The following is a 22127-nucleotide window of genomic DNA, read 5'->3' as shown; positions in this document are numbered from 1 at the left end:
CTCTCTCTCTGTGTGTGTGTGTGTATGTATATGTATGTATGTGTGTGTGTATATGTGTGTGTGTATGTATGTATGTGTATATATATATATATGTATATATATATATATACATATATATATATATATATATATATTTGGAGATAGCATCTCACTCTGTCACCCAGGATGGCAAGCAGTGATATAATCAAAGCTCACTGCTGGGCTCAAGGGATCCTTCTACCTCAGCCTCCTGAGTAGCTGGCACTACAGGTGCAGGTCACCATGCCCAGCTAATTTTGTTGTTGTTGTCGTTATTGTTGTTAGAGATGGGGGTCTCGTACATTGCTCAGGCTGAATGTTATAAAATTTATTCTTGATTTCAAACTTAAAAAATCCGAATTGGAAAATGAAAAACATTGATTATTTTTTTCTAAATTGTTAAATTACCATCTTGTTCTAAAAGCAGGAATCCTCATCATTCTGCCTGTAAACACACAACTGCCTTTACGGAATGTGTGCTCTTTTCCAAGTGCCAGACTAAGTGTGCTACACACATCCACAGAGCGATCCTCCGAACTCTGTGAAGCCGGCACTTTCCCCGTTTTTCAAAGGAGAAATCTGAGACTCAAAGGTTATACAGACTGTAAATATTACAGCTAAAATTAACACGGAGACTTCTTCAACCCTGACCCTTTGCCCTCAAAAAGTCAGATACAATGCCCTCATTATGGACTGAGTTGCATCTCCCTCAAACTCACATGTTGAAATCCTAATACCTGGTGCCTCAGAGTGTGGCTCTATTTGAAGACAGAACCTTTAAAAAGGTAATTAAAGTAAAAGAGGGTCATGAGCATGGGGCCCTACTCTAATTTGACTGCAGTGCTTACAGGAAGAGGAGACTAGGGCACGGACAGAGACAAGCGAAGGTCACGTGAACCCAGTGAGATGGCAGCCATCTACCAGCCAAGGAGAGAGGCTCAGAAGAAGCCAGTCCTGACAACACCTTCATTCAGACTTCTGGCCTCCACAATTGTGACAGGGTAACTTCTATTGTTTAAGGCTCTGAGTCTGTAGCACTTTGTTACAGCAGCCTTGGCAAACTAATACAGCCCCCCAAGAAACAGAAGACCCAAAGTCCAGGCATGGAAAGGCACATGTTTGATCCATTCAACAGGGGACCACTTACTCCTATTTTAGACGTTTTTCAAAGCTCAGTTGTCTGAACTAATTTGAGAAGCAGAAAAGTGGCAGCAAATGAGAAGAGGATACTCTTCTAGAAACGGGCCCAATGATTCAAGTGAAATGTGGCCGGCCCCCAGATGCAAAGACAGAGGCAGAATGAAAAGTCCATACAAGAAATAGCATCGCCCAGCCTTCTGGAAGTAGCCATGTAGGACAACACATTGCTTGTCCAGCGGGATCACCGAGTGACCATGGAGGGCAATTTGGTCACACTGTTCCCTGCATCAGGAAAGCCTGGGCTTCCTTCTTCATGACCAAAGGTAGCGGTCATGATTAGGAAATAACTTTCTTTTCATGATGTTATTTATGAGGTCTGACACCTTATTAGTCAGAAATGTTCTGGGATCCCTTATTTGACTATGCAGTTTAACGAGAAATTTTACTGCTTCTAGAAACTTACCCTGCCTGAATAATTGCCTTTTAGGCATCTGGTCTGCAAGTCAGACTGTCTTGGTTTACCGACGTGTCCCTTATTTCCTGACCTCAGGAGAAAGACTATTAGAAATCAGGTATATACCCTGCAGGGGAAGTTTCTGCATGCAGCTAGAGATGACAGTCCTCACGCTCACCTGCAGCCATCTCTGCCACAGAACTCTCCAATGCACAACAGGGAACATAGACGAGGATGTGGGTCCAAACTGTGGGCTCCAGCAGTGCATCCCATAGGCCAGCACTTCCTGCTGTTGGTCATAACTGCTGCCATTCAGAGAACAAAGGTACTGCCTTATGCAAGAATACTCCATGTGCCAATATGCACAGAAACAACACTAGGCCCCGAGAACATACAACTTCATGGGCGTCTTAAGTAGCAGGCTAGCCAGCGTGTGCACGTGTGCATGCCAAACCAGGGAATGCTGGCTTACAGGGACAGAGCTGCTTCTCAAAGGCCTGGCCGCTCGGAAAGCCGTGTAGGGAGCAGTGGCCCCAGATCATAGATAACATATCCAGCATCTCTGTGAAATATTCAAATATACGTGATAGCTACATGTATGCAAGCATAAAATCATTTTTTTCCTTTGTTCAATATGCTTACCTGTTATAGAGAAGAATGTCTGGTTTCCAAATCTGGCCATCTGGGAAACGAACAGTCTTCACCCCTGGATATTCTGACACATTCCACTGTAAATAGTGATCTGTCCAAGACTGACACACACAATGACATTAGCAGCACTTCACTTCCTTGGCTACTAATATTTCTCATAAGCGATTATTAGGTAAGTGCAAAACCAAAGAGAATTCCAGACATTTATTATAACTGAATTGCTATTTATAAAATATAATGAAAATGGGAATTCAAAAATCCTTTCCAAAATGACTGTGAAGAGCATAAAACTCACATTTAAGGTTCTGCTGTCACCATGAACACATTCAGATGGTATCATTAAAGTTAATTCCAACCCTCTGCATGTCCCCGAGCCTTCTCCTCCTGCAGTAGATGGGTTACTTCTAGCCAAATGAATAACTGTTTTGCCTTAGAAGTTTTCACTGTAAGAATACTTCGAAAAAAGGAATTCACTTATTTCCACTGGACTAAGAACCAGGCTGGAGAAATGTGGAATATTTATTTCCATAAAGCAATACTGTGCAGCTGCATGGGAACCTCTCAGAATTTCTAAAGGAATGTTTTCAGATTTGAATTTTTATTTTGTCACAGGGATAGTGCTTCCGACACCCGACAATGCAAATCCTGAGCCCTGATGGTGAAACGCAGAGTCAGGACGAAAGGAGGCAGGTGAAGACTCAGGAAGCACTCACACAAGCTCACGGCCAGGCCTTAATTGAGGTTATCGAGTGACTTTTGCCAGAGGAATACCCACGTCTGGGGTCATCCCTCCGAGGATCAGGTGCTAAACAGCCCTTCCTGGAGCCCACAAGCTCTGCAGAGGATGCTCGGGTGGGATCCCACCTGCAGCTGCCACATAACCAGCACCACCCCACAGGAGGCTCAGGGCTGACAAGTATGAGCCCAGAAGCTCCTATAATTGCACCATTATCCTGTATTCTGTCCCCCTGGTACCACCCATGCTCTGAAGCTCAGGCTTTCCAAGATCCAGAAAGGTATGTGATGCACCACCCCAACCTGGGACCAGGGTGGCTCCTCACAATCAAATACATGGTAATTTCTGCAGCAAAACATGCCTATTTGCACTAAGTGAGACAAATAAATGCCTCAATTCACATAGATTTCAATTTGATTTTAGACCAAAATAATTTGACGCAAAGTTACGAAAACAACATCAAAGGAGGGGGAAAAATTTTCAGAGCTGCTGAGATTTGGGAATTGCAGATGAGGGGCTGTGGGCCTAGAGCTATTGATACAACAAGGGAAGCAAAGGGCATGTCCCAGACCAACCATTCTCTGAGGAGGGCAGGCAGCATCCAGAAAGATGGTCCCAAGTCTGGAAGGATCTAATCTGACATCAAAGGAGAGGAACTATCCAGGTGAGTGACATCATTTTGCAGCCAGGGACCTCCAGGAATGAGGATGTGTTAATGGGTGATGTGCAGAAGTATCCTCTGGGGCATTCAGGATCGACAGCTGCCTGCTGGGGTCTCTAATGAGATGGAAGTGGTTGGGGAGGGGACAGGAGGGGCACACCCAGGAATGGTGGGTCTTGTCCTAGTTGTCTTCCAGGAATGCCTGGGCACCAACCAAGCCATGCTTCCTGCAGCTTGCTCCAACTTGGCACCTCTGCCCTGTGCTTCCCTTCATTTCTCTCCCTTGCCCTGGGCACAAGGCCCTGCCACAGCCAACACCTGTGCTTTCTGTGCCACAGTCTTGCATCTCACCCTGGGATGCTTCTCTGTGTCGGTCACTAATTATCACAGAGCCAGTCACGTTCACCATTATTACCACACAGGTCAGGGCCCCAAGATTCCACGAACTGCCCTGGAAAGTGGGCATGGTAGGCCAAGGCACTTCTCTCCTTCTCCTCTGCCTGCTGAATGATGGCCAGAGAGGGAGGGGAGACAGGAACTGGGAATGGGAATGGGAGTGCTTGGATGGTCAAACCCAGACCTCGTCCAAGGCACAGCCAGAGCTGTACGCTGCCTCCCCACACCCCGCACACCCCACTGCGTAAACCACGGGCTCATCCCCTCCCCGGCCAGATCACAGCCTTTATGCTAGTCCAGTGTCCTGTGTATGTCCAGACTCACCATAGCAGACTCACCATAGTTCGGGGGGGTCAGTGATATGACTGCTTCCATTTACAAGAGGACGCCAGGGTTCAGAAAGCTAGGATGTTTTAGTCAGTCACTGGGTCAGGGCTTACCTGTGTTATTTGACTTTAAGCAAACTGATCTTTGGGTTCTACCAGAGCTGGTTCTTCTGGCTCAATCTCCCTGATGCTGCTGCCCATCTGCTGTTTTCCCTTGCCCCAAACCAGGCTGACCATTGTGTCAGAGGCATTTAAACCAGGGAAACTCCATCTTAAATAGGAGCTGGGTAAAGCAGGGCTGAAACCTCCTACTGGGCTGCATTCCCAGATGGTTAGGCATTCTAAGTCACAGGATGAGACAGGAAGTTGGCACAAGATACAGGCCATAAAGACCTTGCTGATAAAACAGGTTGCAGTAAAGAAGCCGGCTGAATCCCACCAAAACCAAGATGGCCACGAGAGTGACCTCTGGTCATCCTCATGGCTACACTCCCACCAGCTCCATGACAGTTTAGAAATGCCAAGGCAACATCAGGAAGTTACCTTACATGGTCTAAAAAAGAGAGGCATGAATAATCCACCCCTTGTTCAGCCTATCAAGAAATAACCATAAAAATGGGCAACCAGCAGCCTTCGGGGCTGCTCTCTCTATGGAGTAGCCATTCTTTTATTCCTCTACTTTCCTAATAAACTTACTTTCACGCCCTGAATTCTTTCTCACACTAGATCCAAGAACCCTCTCTTGGGGTCTGGATCGGAACCCTTTTCAGGTAACCGTAGTGGCAGAAAAGGTAGGGGGAGCTGCCAAAAGCATCCGCATCAGACAGACCTGGGTTTGCACCAAGGGTCTGGCAGAGACTAGCGGCGTGAGCTTGTTCAGGTAAATCATTGTCTCTGAACTGCAGTTTCCTTACATGTACCCTGCCTCACAGGATGAGATGAGATAATGTGTGCAGCAGCAGATTAAAGTCATATGGCCCTGGCAGGCAAGTGATGAATGGTGGCTTAAAAAAAGAGAGAGAGATTTCCCCATTTTACAAAATCCTGCTGGACTTGGGAGCTGTAGTAACAGTCATAACATAGCTGCAGCCAAGGGTGGGGAAGACTGAGTGCCAACATGCAGTGGGAACCTCATGCTGTGTGCCCTGGAGCCCAGGTCCACAATCCTGAGCCCGGGGGCCCCACCAGCAACCCCCACAGGCTCCCATGACGGTTTCCCAAGAATGGATATGGAATAAGGCCCTACAAACAACAAACTTCTAGAAAAAAGGTTGTTCTCTGAAAGCACTTGGTTCCTAGGTCCCTCGGGAACAGGGGGCATCAGACAAAATCTTTGTAGACAGCACCTGACACGTTTTCCACAGAGTGGGGATCTGAAAAGAAGCGTCAATGAACCTAGACTCCCAGACAATCACATTTAGAGGAGTGTGTGCTCTTCCTTCTCTCCCTCCTTTTGTGAGATTCCTTCTCATTAAATCTTCAAAAGAAGAGTGTGTGGAGTTGTGAGGGGACACTGAAGGGAAGGGAGGAAGGGGCCATTGATCTAAAAGGCACTGGGGGAATCCCAATTCTTCCATGGCTCTGGCACCTGGGCCCTATTTGTGCTGCTTCGAGCCCACAGGAAACTCTAAATGTGTGTGGATGCTAGTGGCATGGAAGCATTGAGGGAGGGCGGAGGAGGGGAAAGGGATGAGAGAGGGGAAGGGAGGGAGGAAAAAGGAAAGTTATCTTTCATTAAAAAAATACATTATGGTATAATAAGAAAATAGATTTGGTTTTCCTGGCACAGAGCTTCCAAAGCCCTGGGAATTTCCTGAGTGAGAGGAGTGTCTTTTGTGATTCATACAGAGCCCCTTCTGACCATGCCTGAGGCCTGAGTTTACGCTGATGAGGTGACTTAGGGTTGGGCACCTAGATAGCTTTCATGGGGGCTGGTCACCTAGTGACTGGAGTAAAGAGCTTTCTGCCCATTGCACTCACAGCTCTGGGGAGGGGTGAGAAAGGGGCTCGAGACGGGGTTATAAACACTCTTGGTCAGCACATCCACTTGCAGGGAAGGTGGCCACTGGCGAGAAGTTACGACAACAGCTCCGCGCACCCTTGCGGCCACGACGCCCTGTCCGCTGCGTCCTTCCACTTGGTTCCTGAGCTGCATCCTTTAGAATAAGCCAATAAACCTAAGTCATGGGTTTTTCTCTTCCCGAGTTTCATGTTGCTGAATTCCTGTTCTGAAACTCTGAATCCATGTAATCTTTTCTCCAGGGTATTTTATATAAGTAGATATTAAATATTTATTTAATAAATATATTTTATTTATAAATATATTAAATAAGTTTGTATATTATTTAAAATTTTATTAAGTAAGCAAAGTATTTTCCTGAGCTCTGTCAGTCATCTTAGAAAGTTATTGAACCTGGGGGAGAAGGGTATGGGAACCCTCGAATTTTCAGTCACCTGCTAGACATGTGGGTAGCCTGGGTACACCATTTGCAGCTGGTATCTGAAGTGAGACTGAGCCCTTTAACCTGTGGGATCTGATGCAACTCCAGGTAGATAATGTGAGAAATGAATTGAATTGGTGGACCCCCAGTTGCTGGTGGAAAATTGGTTGTTGGTGCTAGAAAAGTCATCACACGTTTGATGTCAGAAAACACTTATCTTTTCAAAATTATTCCCGTCCATTATTTTGTTAGTGGAGGAAAGCAGCCTTTCCACCCCACTGACCCTGACGCTTTCTTCTCTTGGTGAGACATAATGATTGACACATCGCTCTTCACCTTGAGATGCCATCACAGCCCTAAGCAAGCCACTAGCCGGCTTGTCTGTAAACAGGAAGCGTGGCATTTCCATGTGTCAGAGATCAAGTGATGATGAATGCAGAAATTAAAAAGGTAAATATTTTAGAAAAAATAACAGCTTAAAATCTTATCATCTATGGTGTGAATGCTATTAGTACCATAATTAGAATTAGGAGGTTAAAGTTAGAGAAGGACCCAGGAAGGCTGGGACATCAAATGCCAGGAGAATGGTCACAATTGCAAAATGACAGAAGACAGGTGTTTTAAAAGCAAATGTAAGTCTCTGGATGGTTCAAATGTCTCTTCAGAAACTGAAATGGCTTCTGTCATTTTTTTCTCATAGATTAAATCAGATTATGTCTGACAACCCTCTCAAAATGATAAAAACTAATCTGCAGAGAAAACTGGCTGCAGAGGAACCGGCTGCAGAGGAACCAGCTGCTTCCTCCTCGGAACATGAAGAGGTGAACAGAGAGATGAAGCCTCTTTCTCCTCCCTCACGTTTCTGAATGATCAAAATCAAGGGCAACTGGGAGAAAGAATAACAAAACCAACAAACTGGAGGTCAAGGAGAGTTTTTTTCTTTTTTTTACCTTTCTGCCTTTTCCATTTTTAATAAACAGAAAATGTATCATTTGCAGAGTTTAAATACCCTAGAGAAAAGATTATGTGGATTCAGATTTTCTGGACAGGAATTCAGCAACATGAAACTCGGGAGGAGAAAAACCCATTGCTAGAGCCGTTTTTATGGCTCTCTGCCCCCGGCCCACATTTGCACCCCCCTCAGAACCCTGGCCCTGAGAGCCTTCAGTACCCAGCTTCACTTGTGCATGTCCATTATCGTGCTGGGTCAAGCCAGGCTGGTCCCCAGCCAGGGAACACAAGAACAGCAATCAATGGAAGGTTGCTTAGAAGTGGCCTCTGGGCAGCATCCAAGCTTGCTCTGGTGACTCCTGAGTTCCTCATGTCCATGCTGTGGACATGAATAGAAATGCCAGGGCTTCCAGACTGAAACACTGGGTGGGGGCGGGGAGCAGAGAGACACAGGCACTGGCTAGATGACTGTTAAGGTTTGTTTTAAACCCAGGATTCTTGTGAGCCCTTAAAAATTCAGTTGGGAGACAGTGTTACAACTGCTAGATCATCTACAGGTGCCGCTTTCCAGATAAATGTTATCACCCAGCTTTATGAGGGCACACCTTCTAAGGGAATCCAGCATGTTTCTCAATCGGTAGGCACCTAAAAGTAAACATTAATGACAAAATACTCAGAAATGCCAGTGCTCCCAGATCTTCACGTTTAGGAGAATTTGTGCCTCTCCTTCTCTCCCATTTCTTTAAAGCAGAGATTTCTCCCACGTCTGGCCTCTACTATCTGACCACCAGCTGTCATCTGTAATATCCCTGGGGAGATACTTGTTCTTGCTATTTTAATTTCCTCCTCCTCCTCTTTTCCTCCTCCTCCTCCTCCTTTCCTCCTCTCCTCCTCCTTTCCTCCTCTCCTCCTCTTCCTCCTCCTCTTCCTCCTTCTCCTCCGCCTCTTTTCCTTCTCCTCCTCCACCTCCTCCAACTCCTCCTCCATTTTTCCTCCTTTTTTCCTCCTCCTCCTTCTCCTCCTCTTTTCCTTCTTCTTCTCCTCCGCCTCCTTCTTCTAAACGTGTTAATTACACAGCCTGATCATAAATGGCTTAAAGGTAGAAACTGGGTTATGTATTTCTGGGTCCCCTCACCTGGCCCAGTTTAATACCTTCCACAGAGTAGGTTGCTCCAAGAGGAGGTGAGTTAAAAGGTGAGTTTTCAAACAAATGAAGCTGCAGATGCTTCTGCAAATGTAAGCCTTAATTAAAATTAGCTGTGCTTGAAATAAATTTAGAGGTCTCTGGTGACACCCTCTGAAGCAAGGATGTTTATTTGTGGAGCATCTGAATTCCATACTGGAAGTAATAATCCAGTTACATTTTTCTTGGAAACCACCATCCTTTAAATAAAATTGCCAAATCATATACATTGCTGAAGACCAGTCACTTACTGAGGGCTAAGGAAGATAGGCACCAGGGAGAGAGACCTCTCCATAACATGCATTTCTCTCTGTAAGAAAAATGTCAACAGCAGCGTTGTTCCTTAGAGGGCATGGCAAACGTCCAACTTTAATTAAAAAGGGAAGCACTTGCCTCATTCTCCGGAGCCTGGCCTTATACACACAGTACGAAAGTGCTGCACGGCCATTCAGGAGATGGCTTTATGTTGTGTCACGCTACCCAAGCACCTCAAGGTTCACCTTGAGTTTTTGCTTCATTCTCTCATTCGGCAAAAGTTCTTTGGTGCCCGCTACAGGTGAGACAGTGAACTAGGGGCTGTGGGTACGGCAGTGACCGAATGCACCTGGAGCCCTGTCCCCCACACTGTGCACACATTCTAAGGGTGATGAAGACTCAGAACCAATGAACAGATAGACGAGTGAACACAAAGCGGGTTACATGGTGAGAAGCCTTTGGGAGAAAAATGAAACAGGATAAAGAGAACAGAGTGGGCTGGAGGTGGAGGGGAGGGTTTGGGACAGTACATCGGAGCTCAAAGAAGACTCAATGAAGAGTTGACCTTTAGGAAGAGATCAGTGAGAAGTAAGGGGGAAATCAAGTGGTTCTTAGGGACGAGTCTTCCTGGCAGGGAGAGCAGCCAGTGCAAAGGCCCTGAGGGGGGGGCACGGGCTCGGGTGACGTGTGTGTCACCCAACAAGTGGACAGTGAGTGCAGCCAGGAAACAAAGAACAGAGGGGAGGGGAGAGGAAAAAGGAGCCAGGCAAGGAGGGAATTGAATCCAAGGCCACTTCGAGGACTTCAGTTCCTATGCTGTCCAGGGAGACAGGAGCCCCTGGAGGGATCTGTGCCAAGAAGGTATATGCTGGCTGCTATGTTGAGGACAAGACACCACCAGAAGAGGCAACACTGAAGCAGGAAGGCTGGATGGGGACTCCTAATAATGGAGGTGAGAGATGACACCCATGTAGACCAGGGTGAAAGCATCATGGTTGATGCCCAGTAGTTAGATCCTGGATCGGTTTTGCAGGTCAAGCTGCCAGGATTTGTTGATGTATCAGAGGTGAGGTGTGCGAGACAAGAGTTAAGGGTGACTTCAAGGTTTTTGGTTTGAGCCAATGGATCCATGGCTTTAACATTTATCCAAATGAAAAGTCTGTGGGAGAGACAAGAGTGAGAATGACCCACGGACACTATTTTGATGCTACTGGCAGCGAGGACAATCATTAATGCCAGGCTCTCAGCAGGGGCCAGGAGATGAGTCTGTCCATGGGAAGAAGGCCTGGGCCTTCCAGGAGAGCACAGATCATGTGTCCTGGGCAAAAGGAGGGAAGCTAGAGTAGGTGGCAAGGGATATGCTCACTGAAGTATGCTGCTTTAAATCCTGCAAGGGAATATCTCAAGGGCTCTCACCTGACTAATGTTAGGTTCTGCAGGAGTCTCACATGTAGCTATGGGTGCACCTTGGAGACCTAGCAATGGCTTTAAGCACATCCATTTTCTTTTTCTTTCTTTTTTTTTTTTTTCTTGAGATTGAGTCTTGCTCTGTTCCCCAGGCTGTAGTGCAGTGGTGCAATCTCAGCTCACTGCAACCTCTGCCTCCCAGGTTCAAGTGATTCTCCTGGCTCAGCCTCCTGAGTAGCTGGGATTACAGGTGTGCACCACCACACCCAGCTAAGTTTTGTATTTTTAGTAGAGACAGGGTTGCACCATGTTGGCCAGGCTGGATGCAGATCCATTTTCTATCCCTCAACTCCACGTGTATTCGCAGGATAACTCAACTGCCCAAGAACCACATGGGACTATCCTTTGCCTCCATTTTCACTTCTCCCATTCAACTTTATAAAGAAGGGCACATTTCTCTTATCTTACCTCAACTCCCATCTTGGGACACTGACTCAAGAACCAAACAAATGGTCAATTCAAGTATCAGCGTTTGTGTCTGTGTGAATTACCTTACAAATTGGGTGGCAAATACTTTCAAAGGTCAGGTGGGTTTAAATTCTTTTCTTTGTTTTCAACAAAATTGAAGGAGAAACTAATCAAGCTGTCAGCTGATACATTTGATAAAAACTACATTATTTTTGGCATATAACCTAGAAGAAGTTCAAAGATTGAGTAACATTGCTTTAACAAAGTGGCTTTCATGTCCAACTACTCATGTTACTACACCTAGTTAAAAAACAGCAACAGAATTGAAGTGAAAACTATCATTCTCTCCATTCAAGTAATAAAAAGTCATCTGTGGATACATGAACTAATTTAAAACAAACTCATCTTGGGCAGAGATATAAATTGCCAATAAAAATTTATGTTTTATAATTACTTAAAAATTTTAATTTATGTCACCTTGATGAATTATAATACCAATAACAATAGCAAACTTAAATCAATCCAAAAGAAACAAAATTTAATACTTACGGTGTAAAGGAATAATTCTTGTGTAAATATTTACATTTGAAAAAACCAAGGCACGATTAATAAAAGACTTTCGGCCCTGCACGGTGGCTCATGCCTGTAATCCCAGCACTTTGGGAGGCCGAGGTGGGTGGATCACCTGAAGTCAGGAGTTCAAGACCAGCCTGGCCAACATGAAGAAACCCTGTCTCTACTAAAAAATACAAAAACTAGCCGGGTGTGGTGGTGCCTGCCTGTAATTCCAGCTGTTCGGGAGTCTGAGGCAGGAGAATCACTTGAACCTGGAAGGCGGAGGTTGCAGTAAGCCAAGATTGCGCCACTGCACTGCACTCCAGCCTGGATGACAGAACAAGGCTCTGTCTCAAACAAACAAACGAACAAACAAACAAACAAACAAAAAAGAGACTTTCAAACATAAAATTATATTACATTAGGATAAAATTCCGTATAGAAACTAGAATAGAAATGCATGTGCAAAGAGAAAAAAGGGACTACGTTAAATATCTGACAGTTTAAAAAAAGGCTTGTTCATATGGTGTTTGAATGAGATGGGCACCAAATTATTATGGTATTTTGAATTCCATTTAAAATAGAGACTGACTGTTTCATTTTTCAGTGTTAATATTTACAATTGGATGTTAAGTGGCATCATTTGCAATTAATCAAATTTAGATTAGTATTGCAGATGTCAAGTTAAAAATCTACAAATGATAGGTAGCATTTCAAGATTCTTATAAGCATTGCTAGAGCACAAAGTACGAGGGCCTCTGGTTTCGGAACACTCCACCTGATTCAAACATGCAGCTCCGGAGGCCACAGAGGGCAGGGATGGAGCTTCTGAGTCCTGGGGACTGGCTGTGGTGCAGGTTGTGGACATCTACACACAGCCCTGTATCTTCTTGTCTTGCCTGAAGTGCTTCTGAAGTGTCCCCACATTACCTTGTCCTATGTGTTGATCTTGTGCATGTGTTGAGCACTGCAGACTGTAGTGTCATACAGCCAGCATTCATTGTTGGCAGGTGTGGAGTTGGTGTGACAGCCATGGCCTTTTGTTTTTTTGGTTTTTTTTCCTAAACAGGACCTCTCAGAAGCAAGCATCTCAGGTATCAGAACAAGAATCTTGGGTGCAAGATCTTGCAGCCCATGGGAGAGATTGTCATTCTCTTAACTTACCATTTGCAGCCAAATGTTGGTGGTTAAAACTTGGTTCTTCTCATCCTTCAAAAAAAAAAAAAAAGCAGCAGCATAAATAATATGGTTTACAAAAGAAAGAATGAGACAATTATTCACATGGGGATCTGACTGTCGAGAGCGTTGTTGTGTGTGGAAATTAGAATGCACCAAGCACTTCCAATATATGCAAGCAGCATTTCCCTAGAGTTAAGCTTTTCTATTTATTCCAAAGTAAGACACATTTATTATACAGCACTTAAAAAAGATGGAAAAGTATAAAGAAGAAAATTAAAACTCTGCAACCTTACCATCCAGAAATGATGCCTGCTAATGATTTAGCTATTTATCTTTGTATTTTTAAATAATTCATATGCTTAAAAAAAAACATAAAAGTAGGTGAAAATACAAGTTTTTAAAGTCAGGTTTGTTTCCAAAATATATATGCTTTTAAACAAATACAAGTATGTTATGCCTCCCTCCCCCAGGAAAGGGGCCATGGCCCTGTGTGGAGCTGCTGCACCCTGTGTGAGTGGTGCCATGAGGGCCATGACTCTGCCTTGTCCCTGCAGATCTGGGCTTTTCTCTCAACCTCTAACTTCTAGGAGGCACATCGGGCTCTTGAAATACACCTGAAGGTAAAGCCTACCCAGGTGATAAACTAAAGGTGAGAAAGATGAGGTGACTTTAGAAGCAGCCATTCAAACTTGGATCTTTCTGACTCCAGAGCTTATTTTCCTACATTTCCAAAACACCTCCCTGAGTTCTGCCTCCAGCTAAGCCTATGCACTAATCAGGGAGCTTGGCTAGTGTACCAGCTGTGACTTTGCTCCAGCACAGGACGTACAGAGAAGAGACCCGTCAAGACTGGCCTTTCCAAATGGGAGGCAACTTGCGTTTTAGTACGGCTGACCAAGCCCAGTGAAAGGAGGCAAATGAGTGAATTCTGTACAATAGTCATACTGAGAATGTTGTGATTCAGCATGAAATAATCAACTCCAACGTAAAGGACTCTGTGAATTAGCAATTGACACCCTCTCCAGGGAAAATATTAATTAATGCCCCTGTGAAGATGTTCCCAGAAGCTGAAACCTCAAGCTCCCGCAATAGAATCTACTTGGCCTGGTTCACCGATGGGAAGTTTCAAAAAAAAAAAGACCCAAAGGCAGAAAGAACGTGGCATCTGCTGGGGCATGTCAGTGAGCAGGGATGCAAATGAAAAACGAATGCTGCCTCTCATTAAAATGAAAATGCGTTCAGCATGTAAGCAGTTGACAGGGACATCAGTGCCCCAGCCCAGTTGCTCACATGTTGGGCACCTCTGGGGTGAGATGGGCCAGGTGGGGCAAATCCCACAGAGAGGAGAGGGCTGCCTGGGGAGGGACATGGGATGATGTCTCAGGGGACCCCAGGCCAGAGGCAATGTCCACAAGATGCTGAACATTTATTCAGTTACAGGAAAAAATATATCCCATTTTCCTAATAAAATGTGCCAGGAGTTTTTGGTGGGAAAAGCTGTAGAGCTAACATGTCTCTGTACTCTGCACTGAGCAAATGATCCCCAACAGAGCTATCCATTTAAGTGGCTGGAGCACTCCAGTTCCAGTTCAAGCTCCAATATTATTGGGAAGCACTGTTAAAACTCTTCAGAACGTGTATCTGTTGCCTCAACTTATTAAGGAGTTGTTGTTTTTAATGGACTTAAAATTAGCAAGGGTTCCATTTAGGTGCCTTTCCTTCTTTTAATTGCATTTGTGTCTTCATCTGCTGAGAGAAAGGCTTCTGTGGTTTGGGAGCTCAATTACTACGAATCTAATTAAAAGGCTTTCTTCTTTCCAACATTCTAACAGAAACCCCATTAGAGAACACTGAATTTCAGTGGTGTGTGGCAACTTGGGACCAAGTGCAGCTTTTCAAACTGTAATCAACAAGCAGCAGCCACCACCACCTGAGCATGCAGGGATACCCGTTAGGGGAACCCCCCACAAAGACTCAAGAGGGAGAGAGGAGGGCATGAGGAACCATGCTCCCAGAACAATCTCCCTCCTCTTGGCACCTGTCCGGGCCACACACGGTCTGAGTCTCTTGGCTCTCTGTTTGCAGTGACAAGGTCCCTCACCTCCTTCCCATTCCCACTGTGCAGCCTGCTGCCCCTATGCACACGCAGGTGCACACACACAGAGGCTGTCCTCTACTCATCTTCACACCGGACTTTCTGACCATCCATATGATCAGATCACCCTCCTCCAACTGCACTGCCCAAAGGATCAAGTCAAGAATCTTGAGTGAAGTGCACAAGCCATTGCTACAAGCCATGGTCCAGCCGAGTTTTCATTCATTCGTTCATGCAACATTTATGGAACACCTCCTGTCCCCAGCATTATGCTTGCCTGATGTGTGCAGTGGAAATTAATATTGCTCCTGAGCTCCTAGAATAAAAAGTGTGTGTGTGTGTGTGTGTGTGTGTGTGTGTGTGTGTTGGTGGGGGGGGATGAGGTAGGATTCTACAACACAATAATGATACACTTATAACAACATATAACAACAAATGGTAACAAGGATCACGGAGGGAGGGAAAACAGGGTCCCTACAAGGAGGAAGACAAGGACATGGACTTCACCCAGAGTGACAAGGGGTGGCGTCCTGGGGCTGAGCCTCTGCTTTAACCACCTGTGATCCTGCAATACCACAGTATGTGGATCCCCTCACATCCACCATGTGCACCCAGTCCTGAGCCTTTATCCCTCGGTTCCCACCACCAGCTCTGCTTTCCAAGGCTCTATCCAGGCATTACTGTCTCCAGGCCCCCACGCCTGTGACCACAGATGAGAGGCAGTTGCTGCAGGACTCAGTCTCCTCATTTGCAAAATGGCTCTTGACTGACCCCTTTCCCCCTTCTCAAAGAGGTTCTGTGGGACTCTGGCAGCAATAGGTCTGCAGGTGCCGTGTCTTCTCCTATAAGACCTTGACCGGCTGGCAAGAAAAGCCCTCCCTCCCCAGAGGCTGCTCCAAAAGCAGGTTCAGAGTCCATCTGTCCCCTCCCCTTTCCCCACAGCCTTTTCCTTCCTCGATCCTTGGCAAGCACGTCCCGACCCTGCTGCACTAAAGCTGAGCTCAGCCCCCTGCTTCCTGACAGGCTTCTGCACAGAGGACCTGGGGGAGGACTTCAGCTCTGCACTCAACTTCCTTGCCTCGGGATTTGTACTTGGCCACACAGGCTGCAGGTGAACTGGGAGACCTGGGGATGGTGGCCACACCTCTGAGTGTGGAAAGTCCCCAGATGGAATTATAGTTCCCACATGGCCCTCTGGCCCCCGGCAGAAGGACATTCAGGGCAGGTATGCAGGGGCTCCACTCCCACTGCCCAGAATTTACCTAGGGACAAAATCCAGTTCCTCACCCCAGGAGGGAAGTTTCCTTCTCTTTCACCCAAATATCCTTCACTGCTGCCAGAGCCCCCAGCCTGCCATGCAGCACTTGAGCCTGAAACCATGAATCAGCAGGCAGAGCTGCCTACAGCAGTCACTCCCTCCCAAGTTGGAGGCCACCCGAGTCAAACAAGGGGGTTCCTGCAAGAGAGGGGACAGAAACATCCAACCCTGGCCCAGAGGCCTGTGAATAAATATGCACATTTAGTCTCCCGAAGAACAGTATTCCACAGGAACCTAGGGGCCTGCAATTAAGTAGCACAGACTCTATGTTTAATTCCATTTGGACGCTTATAACAAAATATCATACACTGGGTAGCTTATAAAAAATAGAAGTTTGTTTCTCACAGTTCTGGCGGCTGGAAGTCCATGATTAACCTGCCACTATGGTTGAACCCTGGTGTCTGGTGGGGGCTGGCTTCCCGGATCATAGGCAGCCACCTTTCACTGTGTCCTCGCATGGTGGAAGGGGCGCGGGAGGTCTCTGGGGCCTTGTATATATGGGGACCATCCATCATGACTGCACCGTCATGGACTAATCACCTCCTAATACCATCGCCTTGGGGATTCAGATCTCAACATATGCATTTAGTGGGGGAAAAAAACATTCAGACCATTGCACTGTGAAAGTGGGTTTCAGCAATTCCAGATCCTCAAGCTGCCCCCCTGGCTATTCCTGCCCTCCCCAACTGGGCAGGAGGGCATGGAGGAGCAGAGTCCACACAGGCAAAAGACCCTGGGGGCTCCCGACTCAGCAGGCAATTGGCTTCTGTGCATTTCAATGTTCTCTCCTCCGAAACAGGGATGCAAACAGCTGCCCTGTCTGCTACAGCAGGTGGGAAGAGGAGGAGCATGCTGCAATCTGTGCGATGTCACTCAGTGCCAATGGCTGTCACCACGTGGCTACTCACACACACGGCTCTCCTGCAAGATCTACACTCCCCTCTCCCTCTGGGATGAAGACAGGAGGAGGCAGGGTCCCCAGCCCGCCACAGAATCCCAGAAGGCCGGTGTGGCAAGGCACCCTCGAGTCAACGCGCCTAACTCCCTTCATTCTTTTTCCATCTGAGCTCTTCAGTTGAGAGCATGCTTTGATTTAAGTGATCGTGCTTTTTAAAATCAATCTCTCTGAATAATCGTCTATCTGGTTTAGAGTACAACTGTCGTGGTAATGCGTAATGTGCTATCTTGCATTTCTGCAGCAATTATTCTTTCGTGAATTACTGGGTAACATCATTCCATGTGATTTTACAGAGCTCCCATCACATTATTTCTTTTTCCTTTGTGTAGATGCTGAGAAAAAAAAAAAAGCAAAAACATAACAATAGACCTAACCACCACCATTTCTAAATTCTTGTTTGCAGAGAAAATAGCTGGATAATATAAATTCATATTTGTGTAGCAGTCTAAAGTTTATAAACGGTGACTTCTTTTATCTAATTTAATCTTTACACCAACCATATTTTTTTCTTAGTTTTACAGCATAACAAACTGAGGTTTTCCCTGAGTCAGCAAGATAGTAGGTCTGACAAAAGACTCATATCCAGAATAAGAAATAAACTCCAAAAAATCAATCAGAAAAGGGCAGGCAATCCAATAGAAAAATGGGCAAAAGATGAACAAGTACTTTACCAAGAGGATATCAATAAATATCAGGTATCAGGTATTGACGATACCTGAAAATAACAAAGCTAACCCTTAAACAGAGTTTGCATTTCTAAATGTCACATGCACACGCAAACAACGCATTTTGGCTTCACGACAATAATCCAGCAAAATAAATACTATTATTTTTCTCATTTAATAATGGAGATTATGGGAGACCCCCCAAATTTAATTTTATATGTCTCTTTTCTGTTTGAATGCTTTGCTATGAGCAGGTATTACCTTTATAATCAAAGGAGAAGAGGAATGCATAAATATATCAATTATGAAACAAACAAGCTCCTGGCCCTAGGTCACACAGCTAAGTACAGAAACCTGTTTAAGAGGTTAGGGGGTTGGATTTCAGTTTCATAAAGTTTAGTTTTCAACACTTGTGTTTTGAACCATGATGTGATTCTGTCCTCCTTGTTGTAACAGCAAACACTGTGATTACGATCACGGAAAATAATTCCCTTTGGTAATTGTACAAGACAGAAGTTTTCAAAGTATGGGCTTGGAACCCCTGGGTTTCTGAAATGCTTTCAGAGGACCAGTGAGTCAAATCTTTTTTTCATAATGGTTAGACGTTATTTCCCTCTTTCATCCCCCTTTTCCCTTGAGTCTTCCATAGAGGTTTGCGGAGGCTACAGGACATAGGGACCAGCAGCAGACTGAATGCAGAAGCTGGTCAGAGAGTCCAGATGTCTTCTATTACATGAGGCATTAAGGAGATTTGCAACAATAAAAAGCAACGCCACCCTTCCCACTGATTTCTTGGGTGAAGATATGGTTATTTTCCATAAAATGCTATTTATGTTAACATCTTGCTATTTATGGAATGGCCTTATTATATTAAGTGAATTACTGAACTTTAAAATGCTTCTTAGTTTTATCTCCAATGTGTTAAATATTGATAGATATAATCACATAAACAAAACTTAGAGGATCTTCAATAACGTTAAGGAGAGCAACGGAGTCCTGAAGCCTGGATGTCTGAGAGCTGCTGATGGGGAGCTTGGCATTTCTAGGACCATCCTGGTCCTCGTACCACAGGGCCTGGCCCTCTCGGGATACAGAGCTCGGCTCTACCTCTGCTCACATTTTGGGATTGCTCAGGGTCTGTTTGTTGGGGACACAATGTGAAAACTATAGATATCACAGGCTCTGGGCTCTGCTATTCACTAGCCATGTGGGCTAGGGGTAGTCCCATCCCCTGAACTTTTCTGAGACTCAGTTCCCTTATTTGTAAAAACAAGGGTAATGGCTATCAATTGCTCTCTCTGCAGCATGCTGCAAGGACTGAATAGGTAGCAGGAAGAAAAGTGCCTAAGAGCTGGGTGCGGTGGCTCACGCCTGTAATTCCAGCACTTTGGGAGGCCGAGGCAGGCAGATCACGAGGCCAGGAGATCAAGACCATGGTGAAACCCCGTCTCTAATAAAAATACAAAAAATTAGCCAGGCGCGGTGGCAGGCACCTGCAGTCCCAGCTACTTGGGAGGCTGAGGCAGGAGAATGGCACGAACCTGGGAGGCGGAGCTTGCAGTGAGCTGAGATCGTGCCACTGCACTCCAGCCTGGGCGACAGAGTAAGACTCTGTCTCAAAAAAAAAAAAGAAAAAGAAAAAGAAAAGTGCCTAAAATATAGCAAAATTCTCCACTGTTAAATTATCGGAAAAAAGTTCCTTTGATAGAAAGGTACTGAAAAGGCTAAGAGAATTGGCCCGAACTGGCAATATCTCCTCACTATCTGCGGCTGCCTATTTTTAGGGGTGGCACATAATTACTGGTTGGTTTTCTGTTTCTAATTTAACTGTGTAATAATTTGTTTTGATTCTCAGTTTATTCATTTAGCTCTGCAATGTTCCTTTTATTCTGTTATTTTATTGGCTCATCTTTGAAACCTGGTTGGTTTGGTTCCCACTGAAAATTAAGGCTTAGGAATTAAGTGTCTAGAGGTCAGCATTTAATATTCCCAGTGGGTTCATGGTTATTCTGCGATGCATCAATGTGCAGATGAGAATCTTTTCAAAAAGTGTGTGCAACCTGACTTCCTTCAAGCCTTGGATCCTGGCCTCATCCACCAGCTAGCCACCTTGGCAAAGGGTTAAGCTAAGGAACTTCACTATTTCTAGGATTCTGGAGCTCCTTAATCACAGCCGAACTGTTTACAGATATATGCTTATTTCTGACGGTACCGTTAAACCTGACAAACAGAGGAAATGCATTATGCTTTAAAACACAGCACCCCGAAGATCCTGAGATTGGAGATGTTGCTCCAAAGAGCCACTGAGGCAGAGACTGCAGTCTTTGGAAAAACTTCTGCCTCTAGAACTCCCCCAGCAGAGTGATTCTGAACTCTTTGATTCTATTTTTAACTACCAAAGTTAATCCTGCACAGTTCGAGAACACTGATTTCAAGAACAATGCAACGTATAAGGCTTAAGGGATTTAAAAAATCAGACCACAGTGTAATACGTGTATATTTATATACATATTTTTTTTCCTCCCAACAGGTCAGCATGTGATTCCTTGAGACATAATCCCAGGAAAGACCCATGATGACAAGATGGAAAACTGGCTGATCAGCCTGGCTCCTTTAGGGAGAATAAATGCCAGGTGAACAGAGGCAGGTGGGTTTCCTGAGCTTAGGACCTGGATCCGGGCAACACCACTGATTTTTGTTTCCCCTGTGAAATCCAGATCCAATTTGCCCAATGCCAGATTGAAGGGAGCAAGGCAGACCAAGGTGTTCAGCTGCCTGTGTGTGCAGGAATAAGAGAGCTTGCCCGGGGGAGGTGAGCCCCACCCAACCTGATGTCCACTTGGTTCTCGCTGGGTGGACTCCCATGCCCAGAGCTGCCCCATCCTTCTCAGGGAGGGAGGAAGAGTTCAAGCATGCACTTTTCACTGCAACTGAAAGGTTTCCTTTCCTTCTATGAGAAAGGGCCCCCTATCTCCCTCAAAGGACCTACCTCTTGGGGAATGAAGCCTGGAAGGTGGATCATGAGAGCAGACCCTAACAGAGAAGGAATCGATCTTGAATTAGCAGAGCTGACAATGGGTAGTGATAGGAAGATTGTGGAGTAGAGGAGAAAGAGGAAGAGAGATGCTGGGTTTCCGGCATACTGAGTGGAGCAGGAATCAAACTTCATCTGAACTACCCTTGAACAGAAAGGATAAATCTCCCTTTAAGTTTAAGCCATCATCCCAACTGAATCAGTTTTCAGGAATTTCCTTGAGTGTTTACAAGTTGTATCTCTCTGGACTAAAAGCAAACACCTATACACACAGCCAGACTCCCACAAATGCCTTGGTTACAAAATTTCTGTAATTTCAATATCAGGCTTTTTCAATGAATTGTCAAAAAGCTAGCTGCAACAAATCTCATCACAATTGGGGTCCTCTAAGGAACTGAGTTAGAGATAAGGAGACCCCAACAGAGCCCTTGGTATGGAACCGGTGCAAAGTGGGTTCCAAAGGCCAATAGAAAGGGAAGGGGATAAGATGAATGAATGGAAGTTAGGAGCAGGATTTAGAAGCAGTCATTTATTTTTCTTGGTTTTGTTTTTGTTATTTGATATTTCTAATACTTCTATAAATAATATAGGTTAATTGGCTTAAGAAACAAAGACAAAAATAAATCAGGCCACGAATCAGGAAAGTATAACATAAAAATAATGCATCTCTACTACATCACAGAAAATACGAATGAGGCATGGGCCAGATGAAAACAAATTGGAATGACAGCCACAAGAAGGAAGTATGAGTATGAATGAATGAATGATTAAATATATACATAAATAAAAATTTTAAAATAACAAGCACAAAGAAGAAAGGCAGCCAGGCATACACACACAACTAATATACAAAGTAGCCTGGAAAAAAGCCCAAATAAGAAGGGCATGCTTCTCATGAGTTCTTTATATTATACTATATAAGTCTTGGATCAAATTAAGCATGATTTCAAAGATGAGCTAATAAAATAACAGAATAAAAGGAACATTGCAGAGCTAAACAAATAAACTGAGAACCAAAACAAATTATTACGTAGTTAGATGAGAAACAGAAAGGAACAAAACAGACACAGCTAAAAAATTAAGTTACTGGCATGAAGGCAGGACCTGAGATAACCACGGTGTAAGATAATCACAGTGTCTGCAGAGCAAACACACCAAGAGATTACATCCATTACAGAAGTTGGAAATGGAAGTGAAACAAAGAAGCCATAGCTAGAGCTGAAATGGTGACTACAA

At 44.9% G+C, this 22127-nt stretch overlaps 1 protein-coding gene across 7 annotated transcripts in view; it reads right to left on the bottom strand.

Annotated features, from left to right (window-relative positions):
* The window catches only part of CHRNA7 (cholinergic receptor nicotinic alpha 7 subunit), a 142536-nt gene that overhangs the window by 58865 nt on the left and 61544 nt on the right, over positions 1 to 22127 (bottom strand). For 3 of the 7 annotated variants that reach the window (NM_001190455.3, NM_000746.6, XM_011521178.4), the window contains exons 3-4: positions 12807 to 12851; positions 2255 to 2364 (exon numbers count right to left, since the gene is read on the bottom strand). In NM_001190455.3, coding sequence (NP_001177384.1) covers positions 2255 to 2364; positions 12807 to 12851 — 155 coding nt within the window. Of the gene's footprint in view, positions 1 to 1790; positions 1918 to 2254; positions 2365 to 12806; positions 12852 to 15687; positions 16312 to 22127 lie in introns of those variants that run through there. The other 4 variants (XM_011521176.4, XM_047432126.1, XM_047432127.1 and 1 more) reach the window with 4 other exon arrangements.

The sequence above is a fragment of the Homo sapiens genome, chromosome 15 (assembly GCF_000001405.40).
Source record: "Homo sapiens chromosome 15, GRCh38.p14 Primary Assembly".
In the NCBI taxonomy this organism is placed as follows: domain Eukaryota; kingdom Metazoa; phylum Chordata; class Mammalia; order Primates; family Hominidae; genus Homo; species Homo sapiens.
This window is presented reverse-complemented; position numbering and strand designations above follow the sequence as displayed.